Source organism: Homo sapiens, chromosome 5 (genome assembly GCF_000001405.40).
Source record: "Homo sapiens chromosome 5, GRCh38.p14 Primary Assembly".
In the NCBI taxonomy this organism is placed as follows: Eukaryota; Metazoa; Chordata; class Mammalia; order Primates; family Hominidae; genus Homo; species Homo sapiens.
The window spans coordinates 103,111,344-103,133,924 of NC_000005.10; the positions used below are offsets into that span (position 1 = coordinate 103,111,344).

The following is a 22,581-nucleotide window of genomic DNA, read 5'->3' on the forward strand; positions in this document are numbered from 1 at the left end:
ATACTACATATAACCTCCTGTTATAGTTTTCCCTTAATAGTTTTTGGAACTATCAATGTCACAAATCGTCTAAGCAATCCAAAGGAAAATCTAGAAATATCCCATACTAGCCAGTTGGGAGGATGGTATCTGTAGGAAGACGAGGTTTATAAAAGGAAGATAAAAATTGTGTATTTCCTTCCTTTTAGAGACCAGTAAAGGTTGCAAAAACTCCTGAAGGACCTTAAAAAGAAAAGGGGAGGAGCTTTTTCAGGCCTGTAAAAGCCCACAGAAGGAAAAGACCAAACTCTCACACCTTAGAGGAAGTACAGGCCCCAAAACACAGAGGGATGTGGGTAACCAGAACTGGTAGAAAACAAACCAGCCATTGGAAAAAAAATGTGAGTCTGCATAATCCACAGTAGCTTCCGTATTTTGCTTTTATATTTAAAAACCTCTTGGTTCCAAGTTCCTACCATCTCTTGTCTTCCTCCCCCTACCCATTTACCTCCTGGAGAGACCAGAAAATTTTTCTATCTAATGTAAGATGAAGTCTTCAGTATATTAAGTTAACGTGCCATTAGGACACTGTTGGTTTTCCTATTTATAATAAATATACAAAAACTTCTCAGAAAAGGTCTATTTACTGAAATTAACTTCTCTGCTTTGAAATCTTTAACTTTTGAATAATTGAAAGTAGATCGAAATAGAGAAATTTGCTCTCCTCAGAGTAAACCTATAGTACAAGGGACAAGGAGAAAAGGAAAGCACTACAAAAATCTTTGGAGACTGAGCTCTTTAAGGTTTTTGGTTTGTTTTTTTCTCATCAAAGTAGTGGGAGAAGACTAACATATATCTATGTTAGGGAGAGGGACATAAACATCATTGGGAGAAGACATAAAAACCATCTATTTCCTACAGATTTTCATATTTCACAAATGCTTTCACAAGTGTATTATTTTCATTTTTATATGGGTGAGTTGTCTTGGCTCAACAGAACTAAGACTTAAAGGTGTAGTTATTTGACATAGTCACCTTGAAACTTTAATTTAGACTATCCCTAGCATATTTTTATCTTACAAATGATTTACTTGACAGAGTGGACACCATGAGACTGCCTCTGGGCATTATCTTCCACTTAGTGGCTAAGGTCTAGACTATTTAGCCTACCCTCTACAACCTGGCAGAACATAATACAGCTTCTTCTCTCACTACTTTCCTTTCTATACCCATGGCCATATCCCCAACCATTCTCTATACCTTGGTTTACATCATTTTCCCCTAAATGGTATATCCTTCCACCTGATTAAGCCTTACCCATCTTTCAAAATCAAGCTCTAGCATCTCAATGAAGCAAGTGTTCCATGATCTCTGAATCTAAAGTGATCTTGACCTCTCCTAATCTTCTTTGTGCCTACTGTAGAACTTCCATGCTTTACCCTTTTTAATAGTTTTTTGCCTGTTCATCCATATAACCTTGAATTTGCTCATTCAGTTACTGAGCTCTTAAACCCTTATATATACTAGATGATACTAATACAAAGTTAAATAAAATGAAATCCCTGTCCTCACGGAGCTTATGGTATAAATGAGAGGAAAAGAGGAGGAAATCAGCATTTATACAGTTTAGAGTGGTGTTTTAACAGATGTATGCAAAGAGTACTATCAAAACAGATGTGTAGAGACCCAGATTCACCTGGAAAAGGAGGAAAAGCACTGATTGTAGATGAGGTAGAACCTTGAACTTTATTCCATTGCCACTGCCTTAGCTCACACTCACCTTCTATCTGACCTTGCCTCCTCTGTCTCTAATATGGTCCCTGTCCTCACTGCAGTCACAGAGGTCACACTAAAACACAAATCTTATCAAAATATTCACTTAACTCGAAATACATCTTTTGCCATTCCTGATTGTTTTAGTCCACTTGGGCGGCTATAACAAATATACCATAAACTGGATGGCTTATAAACAGAAATTTCTTTCTCACAGTTCTGGAGGCTAGGAAATACAAGATCAAGATGCCAGCAAATTTAGTGTCTACTGAGGGTTCACTTTCTTATAGGCAGCTGTCTTCTCACTGTAACTTCACATGAGGGAAGGGGAAAGGGGTTTCTCTCAGACTCTTTAAAATACAGGCACTAATCCCATTAATGAGAGCTCTGACCTATGATCAAGTCACCTCCTCAAAGTTCCACCTCTTTTTTTTTTTTTTTTTTGAGACAGAGTTGCGCTCTGTCGCCCAGGCTGGAGTGCAGTGGCATGATCTCAGCTTACTGCAACCTCTGCCTCCCAGGCTCAAGCAAATTTTGTTCCTCAGCCTCTCGAGTAACTGGGACTACGGGTGCATGCCACCATGCCCAGCTAATTTTTATATTTTTAGTAGAGATGAGGTTTCACGATGTTGGCCAGGCTGGTCTCGAACTCCTGACCTCAAGTGATCCACCCACCTTAGCCTCCCAAAGTGCTGGGCTTACAGGTGTGAGCCACCGCGCCCAGCCCCAAGGTCCAACCTCTTAATACCATCACCTTGGTGGTTAGGATTTCAACATATGAATTTTGGGAGAATACAACCATTAAGACCATGGCACTAATGATATCTAAATACCTCTGCCAGTATACAAGGCTTTATAAGATATGGTTTTTATCAATCTCTCCATCTTTTTCTCTTGGCATTCTCAATTCAAAACATAACCACAGTTCTTCAACCATCCCATGCAGTGTGCTCACACCTTTTCATTGATATTTTTGCCTGGAATGAACTTTTATTGCTATTTCTCCAGCCCCTCATCATATTTCAAAACTCTGGCTAGGTGTAATTTCCTGCAGAGTGTCTTCTAACCACTCCAACCTGGAATAACTTAAAATTTTAAGAATGAGTTGGAGTTACAAGATTAGATTTCTATTCTATAAAGTGTATTGTGCACCAATATGGAATAGAGATTGGGGTAGAGACAGGAATACCTGTACCAGTCAGCTAGGAAGCTACTGTATAATTAAAGCAAGAAATGAGGAAATTCTGAGCCAAAGCAGTGTCAGTATAAATGGATAGATACATTATATAAGAACTGTAACTGACTAGATGTGTGGAGTAAACACAAAGAAGAATCTGGGATCACTTCTGTCTGAAGCTCTGGCTTAGGGAGAAAGATGACAATATTAAGCAGGTTCTATTCTTCATGGATGAACTCGGCATGTAAAAAGTAGGTGAAGTTAAGGCAATGGAAGAAGGATCAGATGGAAAGTGTACACAGTAGGAAGTGCAGTGAACATATCCTTATCTTTCAACGTTCACATTAATGAGTTCATTCATCCATGAATCCTTTCTGACCACATCCCCAATCTCAGGGAGAATTGTGCACACCCTCATTGGTACATTCACAGTAATATGTGTCAACCTTTATCATAAAATCTGAAACACTCTATTGAATATATTAGTTTATATGTCTCTCTCCCAAATATATTGTAAATCTTTAGGGACATGAGACTAGCCAGAGAAACAGGAAAAAAGCCAGAAGAGGTTCTGGTAATAGAAGTCTGGGAAATACAGACTTCTTAGAAGTACACAGAGAGGCTAAGTGATATAAGAACCATAATGTAGCTAGTGGTTTTGGCAACAGTATACAGTATAGTTACAGTATAGCAGGGCAGTTGGCAACCAGACTGAAATGACACAAGGAATGAATGGAAATTCAGAAAGTGGATTTAGAAACTTGGGCTTAGCTATAAAGGCAAGGAGCTACAAGATAGTTGCTAGAGACAGATATAAGGTTCATTCATTGATCTAAAAAATGTGACTGAGTAACTGCTATGTGCCAGTTACAACGTTGGAGACAGGATAATAAACAAGATGTAGATTCTCTTGACCTTCATTGAGTTTACATTCTAGTGGGGTTAAAAGTTTTGACAGTCATGTTCATAGCCACATCACCCACAACAGCCAAATGATGGAAGCAACTCAAGTGTCCATCAATGGCTGAATGGATAAACAAAATACGGTGTATATATTCACACACCTTTAAAGGGAAGGAGATTCTAACACACGTTACCACATGGATGAATCTTGAGGACATTAAGCTTAGTGAAATGAACCTGTCACAAAAAGATAAATACTGTAAGATTCCACCTATATGAGGTAGTCAGAGTAGTCAAATACATACAGACAGAAAGAATAATGATGGTTGCATAGAACAGGGGGTGAGGAGGAGAGAATGTAAGAGTTATTATTTAACTGGTCAAGAGTTTCAGTTACACAAAATGAAAAGAGTTCTTGGGATGGATGGTGGTAATAGTTGTAAAACAAATGTGAATGTACTTAAAGCCACTGAACTGCACACTTAAAAATGGTTAAGATGGTAAATTTCATGTTATGTGTGATTTACTACAATTAAAACAATTTTTTTTTTGAACAAGATTGTTTTGCTTTCGACAAGGGAGTAACCCAAAAAGTTTAATGCTAATGGAAGGGCTTCTAGAAAGACCACTGAAAACAAAGGAGAAAAAACTTATGGTATGATGTCCTGAGATGGCAGCAGGGGATGACATCCAATTCACAAATAGAGGGATTCGTCCTGTGATCTCTTCCAATAAAGATATTATAGTGAATATAACCATGGAAGAAAATTATTTCTTTCTGAAATGCCACTAAACATTCCCATATAGGCTTCTGACTAGAATGCAGAAAGCTGGAGTAACTCCCACTCTACCTCTGAGAAAAAGTGGGACAAAATGCCAATTTTCTCCAAATTGATCTATAGATTCAATGCAGTCCCAATCAGGAACCCTCAAGCTCTTTTGCAGAAACTGACAGGCTGATTCTAAAATTGATATGGAAAGCTAAAGGACTCAGAATAATTACAACAACTTTGAGAAATGAATATAGTTGAAGAATTTCACATTATTTGGTTTCAGGACTTTCTATACTACTATGGTAATCAAGACTGTGTTATAATGGCAAAATGACAGCCTTAAATCTATCGAACAGAATAGTGACAGAAATAGCCACTCAGTTATAGTAAACTGATTTTCAACAAAGGTGCCAAGGTAATTCAATGAAGAAAGGATAATCTTTTCAACAAATGCTGTAACAATTAAACATCCTTTGAAAAAAGATGAACCTCAACTCATACCTCAAATGATATGTAAAAATTAATTCATGATGGCTCACAGATCTAAATGTACAACTTAAAACTATACAACTTCTCGAAGACAACAACAAAAATCTTTGTGAGCTCAGGTTGGGTAATGGCTTCCCAGACAGCAAAGAAAAAGCAGCTATGCATAAAGAAAAAATTAAAATTTTTATTCCTTAAAGAACTGCTAAAAAAAGAGAAATAACACTGGGATAAAATATCTGCAATACATACATATGATAAATAACTTTTTCTAGAATTTATAAAGAACTCTCGAAGCTTAACAAGAAAGCAAACAACCCAATTTAAAACCTGGAAATACACTTCACTAAAGAGATATGATTAGCAAATAAACACATGAAAAAATGCTCAACATCAATAGATAATAAAAAATGTAAACTAAAACTACCATAAGATATGACTACACACTAACAACAACAAAAATAAAACAAAACCTAACAATGCTAGGTACTACCAAGGATGCTCTTACTGGTGATAATAGAAAATGATGTAAACATGTTGGAAAACAGTTTGGCAATTTCTTATAAAGTTAAACATCAATTTACCATATGGTCCAGCAATACCAATCTTAGATACTAACCCAAAAGAAAATATGTACACCTAAAAACCTGTAAGTGTATGTTTTTAGAAGTTTTATTCATATCAGCCAAAACCTGAAAACAAATGTTCATCAACTGGTGAATGGATAAACAAATTACAGTAGATCCACATACTGGAATACTATTAAGGATTGATAAGGAACAAACTATAAATAGACCTAACAATATGAATAAATCTCAAAATCATTATGCTAAGTGAAATAAGCCAGACACAAATGGCTATATATTTTATATTTCTGTTTATATGACATCTGGAAAAGCCAAAAGTATAGGAAGAGGAAATAATTTTAAAAAATTAAAAATTTTAAAAACAATGCCAACGCAATTGCACTGCATAAGAATGTTTTGGTCAAGGATGGACTGCCTATTGGTCCCGTAAGATGATAGCAGAGCATATATAGAACCTGATATAGGTCATTTGATATTAGCACTGCAGATCAAGTAGGAGAAATAAATGATACCCAATAATGTGCAGGGACATTTGGTTCTCTATATGAAGAAAAAAATATACACACACACACACACACATATCATCTAGGTTCATGTAGGTAGAGTCTGTATTCGTGCAATGCTGAAACTGCCTAACAAAGCATTTCTCAGAATTTATTCCATTGCTAAGTGACTCACGACTACAGCTGCAAATAGTTATGCAGTATTTTACTATGATAATCCTCACAGTACTTCATGAAGTAGGTATTAGTTTTATATCCATTTTACAGGTAGGAAAATGGAGGTTCAGAGATTGTCCAATTTACTCAAGGTAATAAAGTGAGTACATGCGCTGACACTTTTAACTTGGTGTCTCTTACTTCAAATTTCACGCTTTTCCCCCCTGCTATACCAGTAAGTCAATTACTTGTTATCCTTAGCTTTTATAATACTTGGTTCAGGCCTCTGTTACACAAATTATAAAGTGATTTTTGTAATCAATAATTTAGATTATAAATGAGGAATGGAAAGAGTTTATTAATTTTTTATGTTTACATTGTTTAACATAATGTTCAGAACACAGTGGACACTCAACTATTTGTGAATGAATAAAGAATTACCTGCATTTCCTGAAAGGAGAATTAAAAATTATAGCAAATATTCCAGAGGTAAATTATTTCACTTTTGAAAACATTACAGTTCACTTTCACATACATGGCACTATAAGTAAACTGTGTCTAAGAAGGTATAGACTTAAGCCTTAGTATCTATGTTTGGAAAAGGACATAATATCTATCCCTTTTTTGCAATTACGAGGATGATTAAAAGTCCTTTGTATATGGTAATGTATAATTATTATCATATCTAAGTATTATCATCCATATCAGGCTGTTTAAAGTAACATAAAACCCTTTCTTTTCCCAAAATCTTCACCTACATGAAAAAATATTTTAAAATCTCTTTCCTTTCATTAATGGTGTTAATGTTTTATAGCAATGTTTATAAAGCTTCAGTGCTAAGAAGAAAATAATCAGAAGACTCACGAATTGTATCCTTTTATAACGATATAACAGTCTAATGCAGTTCACAAACTGCTGGTTCTGGAGGTAGAGAGACAGATGACAAGGAGAAATAGAAAATGCGTAAGAAAGAAAACTCAGTTCACGAAAAGCATAGCCTTTGAAGTAGTTAAAAGTTTTACTGCTAATAATTGGTATTCATATACAAAAGTAACGTAAATGAAAGTTGTTTTTTTTTTTTCAAAGCCCATACATATGAGAAAATGGCTTGAAACTGTAATATTCGAGACAAATATAAATATCTTCTTATACTCTGATTGCTAAGTAAAGGTATCATTTACAAGGGGGATTAAGTGGTTTCTACTACATAAAGAAAGACTGTCCTGGGACTTCTTTGGATATGCTCATATTTTCAAGAATTTCTCTTAAAATCATTACTTAATGTACTTAAACATGTAGGAATAAGAAAAAATGAAAGTGATTGATTACAACTTGTAGTTTTGCAAGAGGAATGTCAGGGTCACATTTGGTTAAGCTTTATACACTTTGTCCCCTCCATAAAAGCAAATAAAATCAACTCATTGCTTAATTCCTTTAATAATTTTGTGTTCAATAAAGTAAGGCAGTTAGGTATTATGTCAAGATTAGGACTTAACTGTTTCACCAAGGGTTAAAAACAAAGCCACCAATTTAAGCCCCTAAAAGGTTATAATACCCGCTGGTTCCATCTTAAAATCTGCAATTTTCAATCAACATGTTAACTTGGATCGGAATTCTGACATTTGAATTATTCTATTTTAAGCTCCAAAAAATGGACACGCACAATTTTATGCAACGTCAAGGACCTGTAAATTTAAATACACTTCTCTGTAATCTGGTTCACTTCAGAGTACAAATTCATTGAACAAAAAAATGCCTTCATCGCCATATGCATTCACATGAAGCCACATGGGATAAATGCATTTCCACTTTAAAAAGTATCTACTTTGGTTCAGAAATGCCCATTTAAGAAAAACCTACACTGAGATAAAGTGGACATTTTTCTTTTAAAACTACGTGACAGGATTCCCTCTTGACCTCACGTTTCTCCCCGCCACGTATTTAAATTTGGGGCAAAATTTCTGATTAAATGACTGATCAAAGTAATGGGGAGAATTCTTCAACGCCGGCCAAAAGTGCTTAGTCTCAAACGCTGTGAGGGAGCATTTCCTAAGCTTTGGGCGACTCGTTAACGGAATCTTAAGGGCAAGGTCCAACCACACTCAGAATCAGCAGGAAAATGACCGTTTGGTAAAACTCAATTACACCCAGTAGGCACCTCCCCAGGCCCGAAACAGCACTCGCCCTTTCTGCTCAGCTAGCGCGGGACATCGCAACGCCCAAGGCCCTCCTATCTCAAAGGCGCTTGCGCAAAATCTCCCCACAGACTCAATTAAACCCTTCCTTAGGCCGGTCGAGGCGAATGGTTTTGAAATTACTGTCGGGTTACGCCTCACTTTAAAAAACAGTAGGTATGACACAGCACACCAGAACGACCACTCACCGAGGTGGTCCTAAATTCAAACGACAGATTTAAGCTTCCTCTCGTGATTTATCTCGCGCTGCCGGAAGCGGAACTACCCGGGTCCTTTAGAGGGCAGTCCTTTGGGGAACCTTGGAACCACGGTCAGAAAGGTTAGGACTGATCATTTGGCTCTTGCCGGAAATCGTTCCGCCCGGTGAGGTTTCGGCGTGAGACCCGAGGAGGGCGGGGAAGAGGCGTGACGGAGATTCCTGAGGTGTAGTAGCCTGAGGTTCCCTTATGTGGCCCTATAGCTGTTACTGAAGGAAGTAGCCTACGTCCACGCCTACAACTGAAGTCTCTTGACAAACACCTCACCCCTGCCTCCGGGATGAAAGGGGGTAACCTAGACCTGAATGGGCTTGACCATCTCACAACTGCTCGCGTGACGACCGCATTCGTGGCAGGTGAGGGCCCAAAACCGGAGGAGAACCGGAGATGCGGAACCTGATCATGCCAGGGTTGAGGCGGCTGCTGGGCTTCTGCTTTGTCTCCTGTGCTCTGCAGACCCTAAACACATGCTCCACCGAGGGGCTTGTGCTGGAGAGAATGACAGCCTGGGCGTGGAGTGACAGTACAGCTTTGAGGGTCCTTTCGCGCCTTGATTTCTCCTCCTGCTCCCCCATGGCTTCCCTTTTTCATTTCTTGGGTTCGAGACGCCAGAAATTGAAGATCAGCTAAAAGGGAACCGCTGAGCTTCTACCCCACGCTGTGCCTGGCTCCACTGAAGTGATTAGCCTCGAGTTATGGGACTGCTGTGGGTAGAGGTGGCTTTTTAAAAAATTTTCTGCCTTAGTCTTTATCCCTCTCTCTGTCAACCCCACACCCACTTTAAAATAACAAAAGCCTCATGTGTTGCAGCTTTTCATAGTAGGGACCGAGGCTGCAGGGCACTGCCGCACCTAGTCATTTGGAGGTCGTTGCAGCCTTCTGCGCCTTGAAGAAGAAGGGGCCAGGGTGATGATCCCTGGATCTCATTCACGAGGTTCTTGACCACTTCCTGGGAGATTGCGACTCTTGGTGTCCTTTGGCTAGTAGTTGTCTTGCTGGAAGGCTTAACTGTGGAAGTGGGAAGCATAGCTGACCTTAGCACGTAAAATCCTCGCTCTACACTGGGACAGGATTTTGTTTTGCTATTGAGAATTCTTAAATGAAATAGATAATTTTTTTGTCTCAGATAGATAAAATAATAACGATAGTTGCCATTAACTGAGTCTTATGTGTGCCGAGTGCTTTACATAGTTTGTCATTTATTCCTCTCAACAATTCCAGGAGGTATGTTAGATTATTATCACCATTTTACAGAGTTAGAAATGGAGGCTTTGAACAGTCAAGCAACTTGCTCTATTAAACATTTGTTATAAGTAAACGTTTGAATCTGTGTTAAAAACCAGATCTGTCTGCCTTCAAAATCTGTATTCTATTGTCCTGTCCTGTTCTTCCTCGATTTCAATTTCTTCACTAACATTTTCAGTGTCTGAAAGTATCCATTCATTTAAAAAATTTTGGTGTACCTACTTATATGTCTGACAAAAGTTAGACATGATCTCTGTCTTTATGGAGCATTGTGATGCAGAATTAAGTAGTGCAGAACCCAGAATACTGTACTTACTGCAGCACAGGTTTATTTAAAGCAAATGACTAAACTGATTTGCAGAAAATTTTAAAATCAAAGGTTGCTGTTTTAAATGTTAAATTCATATGACTTTCAGAGTAGTTGTTGTGAGGGTATTAAACTGAACAATTGGTAGAACATCTGTTGATTACCCAAATAAGTGCTATGAACCAAGTTAAGTAGTGGGAATATATAGATTAGGTCCTCATTCTTTAAAAGCTCCCATGCAACCACAATATAGACAATGTTATGGACTATTAATTTTCTCACGTGGAAAAGGAATTGTGGTTATGTAGGAAGGTGTTCTTATTTTTAGCAGATACATACTAACGTACTTAGAGTTGAAGTGTGTTGATATCTAGTACTTTCAAATGGTACAGCAAGTGTATGTGTGTGTATGTGTCTGTGTGTATAAATAGCAAATATGGCAAAATGTTGGCAATTGTGAGTATAATGGTGGGCATATAGATGATTAACAAACTGTTCTTTCAACTTTTCCGAATATTTGAAATTTTTCATAATAAAAAGTTGGGGAGGAAAAAACCCAACCCTGATGGAAACAGATAAGTGAAAAGATAGATCCAAAATGCTGCGGAACATAGAAGATGGGAGAGGGTTTTTATGTGTATTTGGGGCCTAACAGAAGTGTGATAGTTCTCAGGAAAACCTTCACTGAAGACCTTTCAGTTGGTTTTTGAATGGCGGATAGGAACTTTCAAGGAGAGCAGTGAATTCCAGGCAGAAGGAAATGCAGGTTCAGCAAAAAGATATTAAATGAACGTTTGAAGAAGGAAAAAGAAATCAACAAGAAGGTTGTGTGGAACTTGGAATAGGCTTTTTTTGTGTAATCTTATAAATGAGCCAGGTTGCCTTTGCCAGCCTGCAGAAGCCTATTTATTCCCTATTACCTGGATGTACTATTGGTGGAAAGGAGACACCATTTATAACAGTGTTTCCATTGGAAAATGCTTTTGGAATTTCAGGAAAACTGGTTATGTGTTTGCGTTTAGGCTAAGCAGCAGGAGCAGGAGCTCCCATTTCCTCTGATTTTGAGAGCAGAGATTTACTAGTTTATAGTTGGGCTCCTGAGGGAACCCATGAAAAGGGCTACAGTGATGGCTTGGAAATATTAAGTTCAGGTAAGGGGGATCTGAATACTAGGTGGGACTGATGGATGATCCAGGGTGTTATTTTGAGGATCAGGTAGCTCTGGCCGTGACCAGTAAAGGTATGGAAGAGATGATTATCCCAGGCAGTAGTGTTCATGATAGTCTCAAGCAGTGTGGTAAGACTAGAAAAGGTGTAAAGAGGTCTCCAACAACAGCAGTGGCAAACGGGAGTTTCTGTGGCTTCATTAGACAAGAGGTAAGTAGATACATTCTAAATTGAGTTATTTATATTTGTTCCTTGCCAATTAAATTTGCTAGAAAACTGTCATAACAACATTTAACAAAATATTAAACATCTAACATTTACTGAGTGCTTAATATGTGCTATTTGCTGTGGCATCTGTATTGCAATTGTCAAAACAATATATGAGATTCATAATCCCATTTTACAGATGATGACTAGAGAGGTTCAATAACTTGACTAAGGACACAGAGCTGAGCAACTTGCAGAAAAAGTTTTCAAACCCAGTTTTGAGTCTAGAGCAATTGTTCTCATAGTGTGATTCCAGGACGACGAGCAACATCAGCATCACCTTGGAACTTTTGGAAAGGCAAAATATTGGGCCCCACCCCCAGAGTTTTGAGATTAGTATTAACAAGCCCTACAGGTGATTCTGTTGCATGCTAATGTTTGAGAACTACTGCATTGAGTGTGGACATTTTTAGTAGCATAACACTCATTTCAGATTTAGAAATCAGGTTTAAGGGATATTTGTCTTTTGTACAGTTAGATTCCCAAACCTGGCTGCTCATCCATTTGTAAAAATACAGTTTTTCTAGTTAAGAATTACTGTTTAGGAATTCCTAATCTGTGATAAGCCCAGTAACTTGTGTTTTTACAAGTCTACCAGATAATTCTGATGTAACCAGTCCATTTTGGGACCACTGCTATAGAAGGAATTCTAAAAATAAAGTAAGGTTCAACACTGATATTTGAATAATGTATGTATCTTTATGCCCAGACAGTTAGCATATGTTGAAATTAATGACTGAACATTGATCAAAATGCTAAATAATATGGAAGTGCTATATGTATAAACTGTACTTCGTTCAAGTATCAGCGCTTTAAGTGAAATAATACAAACCATTTTGAATGTCCTGCATCTCTTATGATGCTCATAAAATCTCATCTTGGCCGGGCGCGGTGGCTCACACCTGTAATCCCAGCACTTTGGGAGGCCGAGGCGGGAGGATCACGAGGTCAGGAGATTGAAACCATCCTGGCTAACACTGTGAAACTCCGTCTCTACTAAAAATACAAAAAATTAGCTGAGTGTGGTGGTGGGTGCCTGTAGTCCCAGCTACTTGGGAGGCTGAGGCAGGAGAATGGTGTGAACCCGGGAGGAGGAGCTTGTAGTGAGCCGAGATCGTGCCACTGCACTCCAACCTGGGGACAGAGCGAGACTCCATCTCAAAAAAAAAAAAAAAATCTCCTCTTGTACTACGACATATATCCTACTTAGGTGACAGAAATGTATTTGAATTTATTTTATATTTTTAGTTTTCTGAGAATTTATATTTGCCATGCTGTCATAAGGACTGTGGAGTCCTCATTTTTGCTCTTTAGTATAATGGCCTTTGGTTTAAACAGACCTGGGTTTGACTTCCATTTGCAACCCTTATTGGCTCTGTGATGATGATCAAATTACCTGAACTTTCTGAACCTCAAGTCTTAATTTATAATGACAAAATGGACACATATCTACATACATAAAACATTTATAAAATGAAGAATATATTTCTAATTCCAGGATGGCTGTGAGATTGTTAAATCACAAAGTAGTAAGTAATTTCTTCCCAACTTTTTTCATATTAAGGCATACCTAGAAAATGGTAGTATTTGTACAGTATCCTGGGGAAACTGAAGAGAGTGCTACTGGAAGCAACTGGCCAGGGTATAACAGCTGCCTTAAAGGCTGAGGCAATTAATTTCTTGGCATACTTACAATTCATTTATGGTGAGACAACATGTTGGGAGGCTCTGAATTTACAAGTAAGGTACTTACTAGGTAACAGTGCCTAATAAATGTTCCTTCCCTTGAGATTTATGTTGTGGAGGGATATACATAACCCAAGCTGTTAAATAACAAGGTTATATGTGACCAAAGGTCAAAACGAATGATTCGGAGAAGGTCTTGTAAATTGTTAAGGCAAGTTTTGTAGAGGAGTATCTATTGGATACTTGAGATGTGCCAACCACCAGAAGACAAAAATTCTGCTTCATCGGTTTTATCTCCTTTTTATTATAGGAAATTTCCTATAGTACTTGTTTTCAAAAACTGGTTCTCAAACTTGGCTACACATTGGAATTACCTGGGAAGACTTAAAATTACCCGAACTCTACTCTCAATCATTTTGATTTAAGTGATGTGGAGTATAGCCTAGACGTTGGGATACAAGCACTCTTAGTATATTATCTTACATATAACATCATTAAAATGACCTATGAGCTATGTACAATTTACAGATGAGGAAATTGAGGCCATAAGAAGTTAACTCACTTGCTCAAGATCAGCTAATTGGAGTCAGTCAGGTTTTAAACCCAGGTATTTTAACCCCTGAATCCATGCTCTTAACCACTAGCCTGTTCAGTTTTTTTTTTTTTATATGACATCTCTAAGTATCTCTCATATACTAAAGTGGAATAACAGAAAAAAAAAGAAAGGCTTCCTTCACTTTATGTCCTTTAGAGGTCCAATTCCTCTGTCCATCTTTTATAAACTCTTCAAAATAACTGTCTGTATAACTTGTCTGTATTTCATCTCCTTCTATTTTCTTGTTTGTTTGAGACAGAGTCTCACTCTGTTGCCCAGGCTGGAGTGCAGTGGTGCAATCCCGGCTTACTGCAACCTCCACCTCCAGGGTTCAAGTGATTCTCCTGCCCCAGCCTCCTGAGTAGCTGGGATTACAGGCGCATGCCACCATGCCGGGCTAATTTTTATATTTTAGCAGAGACGGGGTTTCACCATGTTGGCCAGACTGGTCTTGAACTCCTGGCCTCAAGTGATCCGCCTGCCTCAGCTTCCCTAAATGCAGTGCAATCACATTTAACAAATTGAAAATTCTTACTATGGCTTCTCAGTCCTTTGTGTGCATCTTAGCTACTTATCTGACATGATTTTTTACCATTTTTCCTTTGCTTGCCTGCTCTGCTCCACCTTACTCTTTCATGAACATGGGAAATATGCCAAGCATACTTCTGCTTTAGAGGCTTTATACTTGATGTTTCTTACCTGGAATGTTCACACCATATAACCCCATGGTTGGTTTCTCATTTAAATTAAATTTATATTTAAATGTCACCTTATTAAAGAGGTCTTTCTAACATGTATTTATTTGTTGATTTACCTAGTCCCTCACCAAATGAATGAATGAGACATGTTTCAGACCTAAGGTCATAATCAAATGAGGGACATATATCTATATACTTCATACAGCATTACAGACTTAAACAGAACTTGAATAAGTTAACAAAAGGGGACAGACCAGTCATTAATTCATACCCTTGGGAAAAAAAAATCTATTGGATACATACTTTTTTTTCCCCGAAAGTTGATTTCTACTTACACACATATTTTGTAAAGTATTTCAAAAATGTGGGAGAATTATATTGAAAAGACTATGTATTAGTCAGGGTTCTCTAGAGGGACAGAACTAATAGGATAGATATAGCTACAAATGGGAGTTTATTAAGTAGTATTAAGTCACACGATCGATCACAAGGTCCCACAATAGGCCATGTGCAAGCTGAGGAGCATGGAAGCCAATCCGAGTCCCAAAGCTGAAGAACTGGGAGTCTGATGTTTAAGAGCAGGAAGCAACCAGCACAGGAGAAAGATGCAGGCTGGGAGGCTAAGCTAGTCTATCTAGCCTTTTCACGTTTTTTTTTTTTTTTTCTGTCTGCCTTATATTCTAGCTGCACTGGCAGCTGATAAGATGGTGCCCACCCAGATTAAGGGTGGGTCTGCCTTTCCCGGAACACTGACTCAAATGTTTATCTCCTTTGGCAGCACCCTCACAGATACACCCATGATCAATACTTTGCATCCTTCAATCCAATCAAGTTGACACTCAGTATTAACCATCACAGAATAGTAGGAAACACAGCCCAATAGGTCTGCACAGCTACAACCATTAGTTCTGCCATTGTGTCATGGACTTATTAACTGATTCTTTAAATTTTATTTGTATGTATTCCAGACTTTTTCCAATGAATACTCTAAAAGGCTAAAAAAAATTAATTTTCAGCTTTACCTCTAAAACAGTATTGTTCTCACTTTGTTAGAACACTTTAACTAGAAGGAAGTACAATACAGTTTTAAAATAATGTCATAAAATGTGTGTATACACACTCATATTCATGTATGTATACATATAAGTACATACCTATATATTGCATTGACATACTGGACCTGGCATTTCCTATCATTGCCATTCTGAAGTAGATAGACATTTATTACATTATTACATGTTTCTATTATCTTTTTTATTGGTGGTTTATCACACTAAAACAGAAAATGTCAATTTATTTGGCTATCTTCCTACTAGACTAAAAGCTCCTTAAGGAAAAGAGCCATGTTTACTTTGACTTTATATAACCAGCACTTAATACTATGCCTTCTATAATAAGTAAATAGTGTTTGTTGGATAACTATATTCATTTCAACAAATAATGAACAATTCATTCTTTTAGATTTACATGTTAGAGTCAGTAGGGAGTTTGGTTTACAGGAGTGTTCATGGAAACTATGGTTTATTGAGTGTTTAATATACGCCAAGCACTTATGCTATCTCACTTAGTCTTTACAGGGTTACAGGGTGTTACTATACTCCCTTTTTTATAGACTAATAGCAACTAGCACAAGTCACTAGTTAAGCACTGACAGATTAAAACAGATGTACCTGACTCCAGAACATTCCCCTTCCATTATCGAAATATTTGAGCTGTTTTTAGATGGAAAGAGTAAAAAAATTGAAAGAAACCAAGAGATATTTGCCATTTGATAGGAAACAGAACTGAGATCAACTTATCCACCAACATGAAGTTTTACAGCCACTGGAAACTTTCTGTTGTTGTTGTTTTTTTTTTCAGTAAACATTTTTACATGTTAAACAGTACAGAGGAATAGAACAAAAGGCATTGATTTATAAAGTAAATTATTTCTGCTTTTATTTTTAAATTACAAATTATTTTAAATGTAACGCTGTATTTTAAAGATGGTTAAAGTGAAGGCTGACTGGGCAAATTGATTTTAATGTCTACTGGGGAGTCACCAAGTTATACTGGAATTAGATCTTTAGGAATAGAACTTTTGGAGTTATGCTTTTAATTCTACCTAGCATATTGTTTGACTTTTAAGAATATTTGATCAAGTAATTTATTGTACTACCAGTAATCAAATGAAGCATTTGTTATGTAGTTTCATCTTGGTATATAATTAATTTTAATATGACCAGGAAGCAAGTACATGTAAACAACTATGGTAAGGAATATTTTGAGATGCTACTGCTCTTATAGTTCTTATTTATTTATTTATTTATTTATTTATTTATTTATTTGAGACAGAGTCTTTCTCTGTTATTCAAGCTGGAGTGTAGAGGCACAGTCATAGCTCCCTGCAGCCTCAAACTATTTGGCTCAAGCCATCCTCCCACCTTAGCCTCCCAAGTAGCTGGGATTACAGGTGTGAGCCAATGAGTCCAGCTATGATAGTTCTTTAACTGATACTCATGGACGCCTGGTTATGTGGAAGAGTTTGAATGTCAGTGAATCACATAAAATTCTTGCAGAATTTAGTGCACATGTACTTTTTTTTTCTGGGGAGGAGATCCATAGATTTTATTAGATTTGTTAAAGAGTTTTTGACTTCTACATGTTTAAGAGCTGCTGTTAAATGAAATCTTGTTCTGACTCTAATCTTTTTTTGTTCATTTATGTATGAGACCAGAATATAGAATTGTTATGTTCCCTAAAAAAACTGTTTACAGACAACTTTTACAAATTGACTTAATGTAATTTCAGATTAATATTTGTCAGTGGCTTTTAAAGCTGCATTCCATTTGTCTGTTCTTTTCCATTCCATTCAGATATTTCATAACTATGTGCTAAGAGATTTAGCTTTAATATAATTTTGTTATAATTTGAGTAATTTTCTCTTAATTAGTTTAGCTATTTTGGGATGAGGAATTTAATGTGTAGTCTTTTTGTTAATTCATATGTTTGTCAAATTGCTAAGATGTATATTACTGAAGATCAGTTTTAGTTTCTTAATTTTTTTGCTTTTATTATAAGTAATTTTCTTATGGGAGAAAATGTATTTTCATTTTGACAATATACATCAAGTTATTGGGCTGATTTTACAAGTGTCATTAAAAATTATTTTTTACATGAATGTTTTTGGAGTGCACTCTCCAAAATTAGTTTTTTCATTGCATTTTAGGTAAGAAGATTGCTGTATCAACTCAAGAAAGCAGTAACTTCACTGTCTTTGTATTTTGAATTGCAACAACAACTTTGATATCAACAATGAAGCAATGATATCTAAGAACAAAAGAGTATTTGCCAACAGTCATCATAATATCAAGTGATTGTATAAGCAGAAACAAGCTGTCACAGACCTGTGCGTCAGCTAATATATGGAGAATGCTTTCTTCTGATACTATTTACTTAGAGGCAGTTTTAATATAAATCATTTCAATTATATCTACATCAAATAAAATAAAAATGAGTGAAGCCCCCAGATTCTTCGTTGGACCAGAAGATACAGAAATAAATCCTGGAAATTATCGACATTTCTTCCACCATGCAGATGAAGACGATGAGGAGGAAGATGATTCTGTAAGTTGTTTGTTTTTCCTTTGGCGAGAGAAGACCAATACAGTATAGGCTTTTTACTAATCACTGTTAGTCTTTTTTTGTTGGAAAATTTTTGAACTGAAAAAGTATATTTTGTTTCATGACTGATGTTGTTGAATCTATGATGAATCAATAAATACAGTTATGGGTCAAACCTTTATGTTGTTTAATGATGCCTATTTTAGTTTCTTTCAGTGATACGCATAGTGTAACTCAGTGTTAGGTAACAAAAGTGGCAAAGAGAAACAGTAATCTGGGCCATAAATCCAAAAGCTTTCTTGTATGTAGAAATACATAACAAATAATTGAAGATAGGTGGAAGGAAATAATTTTAAAGTTACAAAAGAAGAAGGATTACTTAAATAGATTCATTAAGCTTCTGTTACCAATGTGAGTTCTGGTTGAACCGAAGATACTCATATTTATTAACTTCAGAAGTCTGAAAACTGAGTGGCTAGAAGGGTAGGCTACCTAAAAAGTATCTATGTGTTTGTGTGTGTGTCTAAAACTTGTTCTCTTTCTGATATCATGTTCTATCCATACTGGATCTTAGGAATGATATATATTTATTATGCTCATTTTGCTATAGTTACATTAGACCAATATTTTTCTTACTCATCATTTAATTTTTTAAGTAGAGATTGCTTTACTGTGAATACTGATTTAAAATACAGACCTACAGTATGTGTTTGTTTTTCATATATTTCTAATTGGAAAGAGAATTTAGTTTTAAGAGAAAAACCTGTTCTATTTTGTAAAAATAGTAAAAACAAACCAAAAATATTGATTAGATGACTCTTTAAGCCCCTTTTTATATTAACAATATCTTTCACAGTGGAGTTACACATATCTGAAATGCAAACTCTACTGTTAACTCATTTAAAACCTTCAACGCAGAGCACCTTTGCTACCTCCTGCCCCTGAAAAACTAGATTTTCAGGCAGGCTTCTCTTACCAGCTCAAACTTTTCTTCATCTGAAGTTTTATCTAGAAGTCCTATAAGTAAAACATGAAAGCAGAGCGTCTCTGGCTCACTTAAACTAGAAAGCACTATTGACTCAGCCTCTACTACCTTTGTCCCCTTTTTCTAGAGTTTTTCTGAACATGGTATGAACACCACTAGCAGATCAAAGCCAGGCTTCTTACATGTAAAGGCTTTTATGTCTCATCTATATCTACATCCATACCTCTCTCCCATTCTTTCTACCCTCTATGTTTTAGTAACATCAAAATTTTTATTTCCACATATTTATTGTCATACCATGCGTCTTTGCTATTGTATGTACTCTTTTACCTCTCTGAAATGACCTTATTTTGGGATACCTTGTGAATTATTTTTCATTCTTCCAAACCCTCCCCAGATTTCACATCATTGACTCTTTCCATTCTCTTTGCTCTTTTTCCCATCACAGATTGGAATACTTCTTCCTCATTACTGTGTCTTTACGTTGCTGTATATACAGTTGTCCTTCAATATCCATGGGGGATTGGTTCTAGGACTCCCTGTGGATACCAAAATCTGCAGATGCTGAAGTTCTTTTTATAAAATTATGTGATATTTACATGTAAGCTGCATCTACCCATGTTTTAAATCATCCCTAAATTACTTATATCTAATACAATATAAATGCTGTGTAAATAGTTGTTATACTGTATCATTTAGGGAATAATAATAAGAAATATAGTCTGTATATGTTCAGTACAGATGCTTTTTTTCCCCCCAAATATCTTCAATACATGATTAATTGAATCCATGGATGTAAAACCCATGGATATGGAGGGCCAACTGTACTTCTATTCCATGTATCACAATTTATTTTATTATTACTGTGTTCCCTGTTAAGGACAGGTAATTCTGTATATCTAATCTTCAGTGCATAGTATGATGCACTATTATCACTTTACAGAAGCTTGATTTAGTTCATTTGATGTATAGCTTTATATTTATAAAATTATTTATTCCAGATCATTCTCCTGTTTTTAAGATTTCTCTCCTGTTTTTAAGACTTCAAAGATGTGACTATAGTTTTTTTAGACATTCAACCTAACAAAATACCTCAGATCTGTTTAAAAAATTATCTTCATGATTTTAAGGTTTTACCTAACAGAGAAACTCTGCGATTGTGCCTTAAGAATGTAAGTTTATTTATACATTTTAAACTTGAATGGTTCCCATTCATCTTAGCCAGTGAGCAGATATTCATTAAATAGATTTATAATAAATAAGACAATATATTAGCATTTAAAAAAATTGTAAAGCAATGTGAAATGTTAGGTTAGAGTACATTTGTTGTCTGGGGAAATCTACTTTAGGAACATTATAATGAACTGTACCAAAACTTTTGATCAGGAAAGCATTGAATAAGGGCATATAAAAGTGGATGTTCAGAGGGATAAATACAGAAGATTCCAGGAGAGTTAGCATTTATAATCTATTTGATTTACCAATCAACTCTAGTACAATTTGAACTCTACATTTCATGAGTTTGAGGAGACAATACAGAAATACTGTTCTAGGCATAAAAAAAGAACAATTTAGGCTGGGCGTGGTAGCTCACGCCTGTAATCCCAGCACTTTGGGAGGCCGAAGCAGACAGATCATGAGGTCAGGAGATCGAGACCATCCTGGCTAACACGATGAAACCCCATCTCTACTAAAAATACGAAAAAAAAAATTAGCTGGGTGTGGTGGTGCATGCCTGTAGTCCCAGCTACTTGGGAGGCTGAGGCAGGAGAATTGCTTGAACCCGGGAGGCGGAGGTTGCAGTGAGCTGAGATTGCGCCACTGCACTCCAGCCTGGGCGACAGAGCGAGACTTTGTCTCAAAAAAAAAAATTAATTAATTAATTCTGATGTTATCCAATTTTATTTTTAGTTATATTAAGAAAAAGCCCAGAAAAGCACTTTCAAGCCTAGATTATAATGTTGTATGAAATATATAAAGTATCATGCAAGAAAGAAAAATTGAAATGAGAACCTCAACACAGCTTTTGTATATTTGATAAAACTCTCAAGCACTTAAATGCAAAGATCACCAAATGAATCTTGAGTAATTTTATAAATCTAGGAGCTACTCATAAATCAGTTTCTATATCCTGCTTTTTAAGTTTTAGGCTGAATTGTGGCCTTTGAGCTGTTACGAGGATGCCAGAGATCAGTAACACCAATGAGTAGGAGTTTTGACTATGAAGACAGGAGGGGCAAAGAGACTTGACACCTCTGTTAGCAGTGTGGCTTTCTTTAAAATTTTCTTCCAAGTTGTCATCAGTGACCAACTAATATTCAAGTGCAAACTACAATAATAGTTTAATACTTATAGCTTTGTAGTCAGGACTATGTCTTACTTTAGGCAAGAGAATTCTTTATCTTTCTACATAGAGTGGATGGGTTTTGACTGTTATTATACTTTACTGGTGTGAGGAGGATAAATAAATGCTAGAGGTAGTTAAAGAGGGGGTACTTTCTTAGTTTGAAATTTCATTGAAAATAGCAACCATATTTATTCTGAAAGTGTTTTTGTTTTTAAATTTGTTTCCAGACTTTTGTAGAAAACTGTTTTTTAAATGTTTATTATAACAATGATATAATTTTTAAAAATTCCTTTGTTTGTTAATGTGTCACTTTTATTTATTAATCACATGCCTTATCTACTTTTGGAAAACAAATGAAGATAGCTGTACTTTGGAGTTCATGTAAAGTTAACCCGATTTTTTGTTTCATTTTTGTTTTAGCCACCAGAAAGGCAGATTGTGGTTGGAATATGTTCCATGGCAAAGAAATCCAAATCCAAACCAATGAAGGAAATTCTTGAACGGATCTCCTTATTTAAATATATCACAGTAGTAGTATTTGAAGAGGAGGTTATTTTGAATGAACCAGTGGAAAACTGGCCTTTATGTGATTGTCTTATTTCTTTCCATTCTAAAGGTATTAAGGGGAGTGGGGGAGAAACTCCTTTATCCTCTCTGTTTATAAAACTAATACATATTAATTGTAGACTATGAGATAAAACAGAAAAATAAACATTAACTCACTTTCATGGACAGGTAATATTAACATTGTGATATATTTCTTTCCAGTGTTTGTCTTCTATGTGTATTATCATTTAATTTAGTGTCATAGTGTATGTGTAATTTTATATTTAACCTTTTTCACTATTATATCAAGAAGTTTTTTTCCCCTACCATGTCATTCTTAGATAAT

The 22,581-nt window shown here is 36.1% G+C and overlaps 2 protein-coding genes across 34 annotated transcripts in view, besides 6 other annotated features; one reads left to right on the forward strand and one right to left on the reverse strand.

Annotated features, from left to right (window-relative positions):
• The window catches only part of GIN1 (gypsy retrotransposon integrase 1), a 34,139-nt gene extending 25,344 nt beyond the window's left edge, over window positions 1-8,795 (reverse strand). For 3 of the 4 annotated variants that reach the window (NR_134299.2, NM_001317954.2, NM_017676.2), the window contains exon 1: window positions 8,721-8,795. The gene's annotated coding sequence lies outside the window, so the exon portion shown is untranslated. Of the gene's footprint in view, window positions 1-7,201 lie in introns of all 4 variants that reach the window. The other variant, XM_017009599.2, reaches the window with a different exon arrangement.
• Window positions 7,931-8,432: an enhancer, noted in NCBI's record as "NANOG-H3K27ac-H3K4me1 hESC enhancer chr5:102454978-102455479 (GRCh37/hg19 assembly coordinates)". NCBI's record gives its function as "activates a minimal SCP1, AML or CMV promoter by ChIP-STARR-seq in naive H9 embryonic stem cells {active_cell/tissue: H9 hESC(naive)}" and the evidence as "EXISTENCE:reporter gene assay evidence [ECO:0000049][PMID:30033119]".
• Window positions 8,433-8,933: an enhancer, noted in NCBI's record as "NANOG-H3K27ac-H3K4me1 hESC enhancer chr5:102455480-102455980 (GRCh37/hg19 assembly coordinates)". NCBI's record gives its function as "activates a minimal SCP1, AML or CMV promoter by ChIP-STARR-seq in naive H9 embryonic stem cells {active_cell/tissue: H9 hESC(naive)}" and the evidence as "EXISTENCE:reporter gene assay evidence [ECO:0000049][PMID:30033119]".
• Window positions 8,433-9,028: a biological region, named in NCBI's record as "NANOG-H3K27ac-H3K4me1 hESC enhancer GRCh37_chr5:102455480-102455980".
• Window positions 8,769-9,028: an enhancer, noted in NCBI's record as "active region_22857". NCBI's record gives its function as "activates an Ori minimal core promoter by ATAC-STARR-seq in GM12878 lymphoblastoid cells {active_cell/tissue: GM12878}" and the evidence as "EXISTENCE:reporter gene assay evidence [ECO:0000049][PMID:35858748]".
• PPIP5K2 (diphosphoinositol pentakisphosphate kinase 2) overlaps window positions 8,958-22,581 on the forward strand; it is a 92,499-nt gene continuing 78,875 nt past the window's right edge. For all 30 annotated transcript variants that reach the window (NM_001281471.3, XM_005277534.3, XM_005277536.3 and 27 more), the window contains exons 1-3: window positions 8,958-9,145; window positions 17,963-18,360; window positions 22,110-22,305. In NM_001281471.3, the coding sequence (NP_001268400.1) occupies window positions 18,247-18,360; window positions 22,110-22,305 (310 nt within the window). In that variant the 5' untranslated portion in view covers window positions 8,958-9,145; window positions 17,963-18,246. The remainder of the gene's footprint in view (window positions 9,146-17,962; window positions 18,361-22,109; window positions 22,306-22,581) is intronic.
• Window positions 9,059-9,248: an enhancer, noted in NCBI's record as "active region_22858". NCBI's record gives its function as "activates an Ori minimal core promoter by ATAC-STARR-seq in GM12878 lymphoblastoid cells {active_cell/tissue: GM12878}" and the evidence as "EXISTENCE:reporter gene assay evidence [ECO:0000049][PMID:35858748]".
• Window positions 9,299-9,358: an enhancer, noted in NCBI's record as "active region_22859". NCBI's record gives its function as "activates an Ori minimal core promoter by ATAC-STARR-seq in GM12878 lymphoblastoid cells {active_cell/tissue: GM12878}" and the evidence as "EXISTENCE:reporter gene assay evidence [ECO:0000049][PMID:35858748]".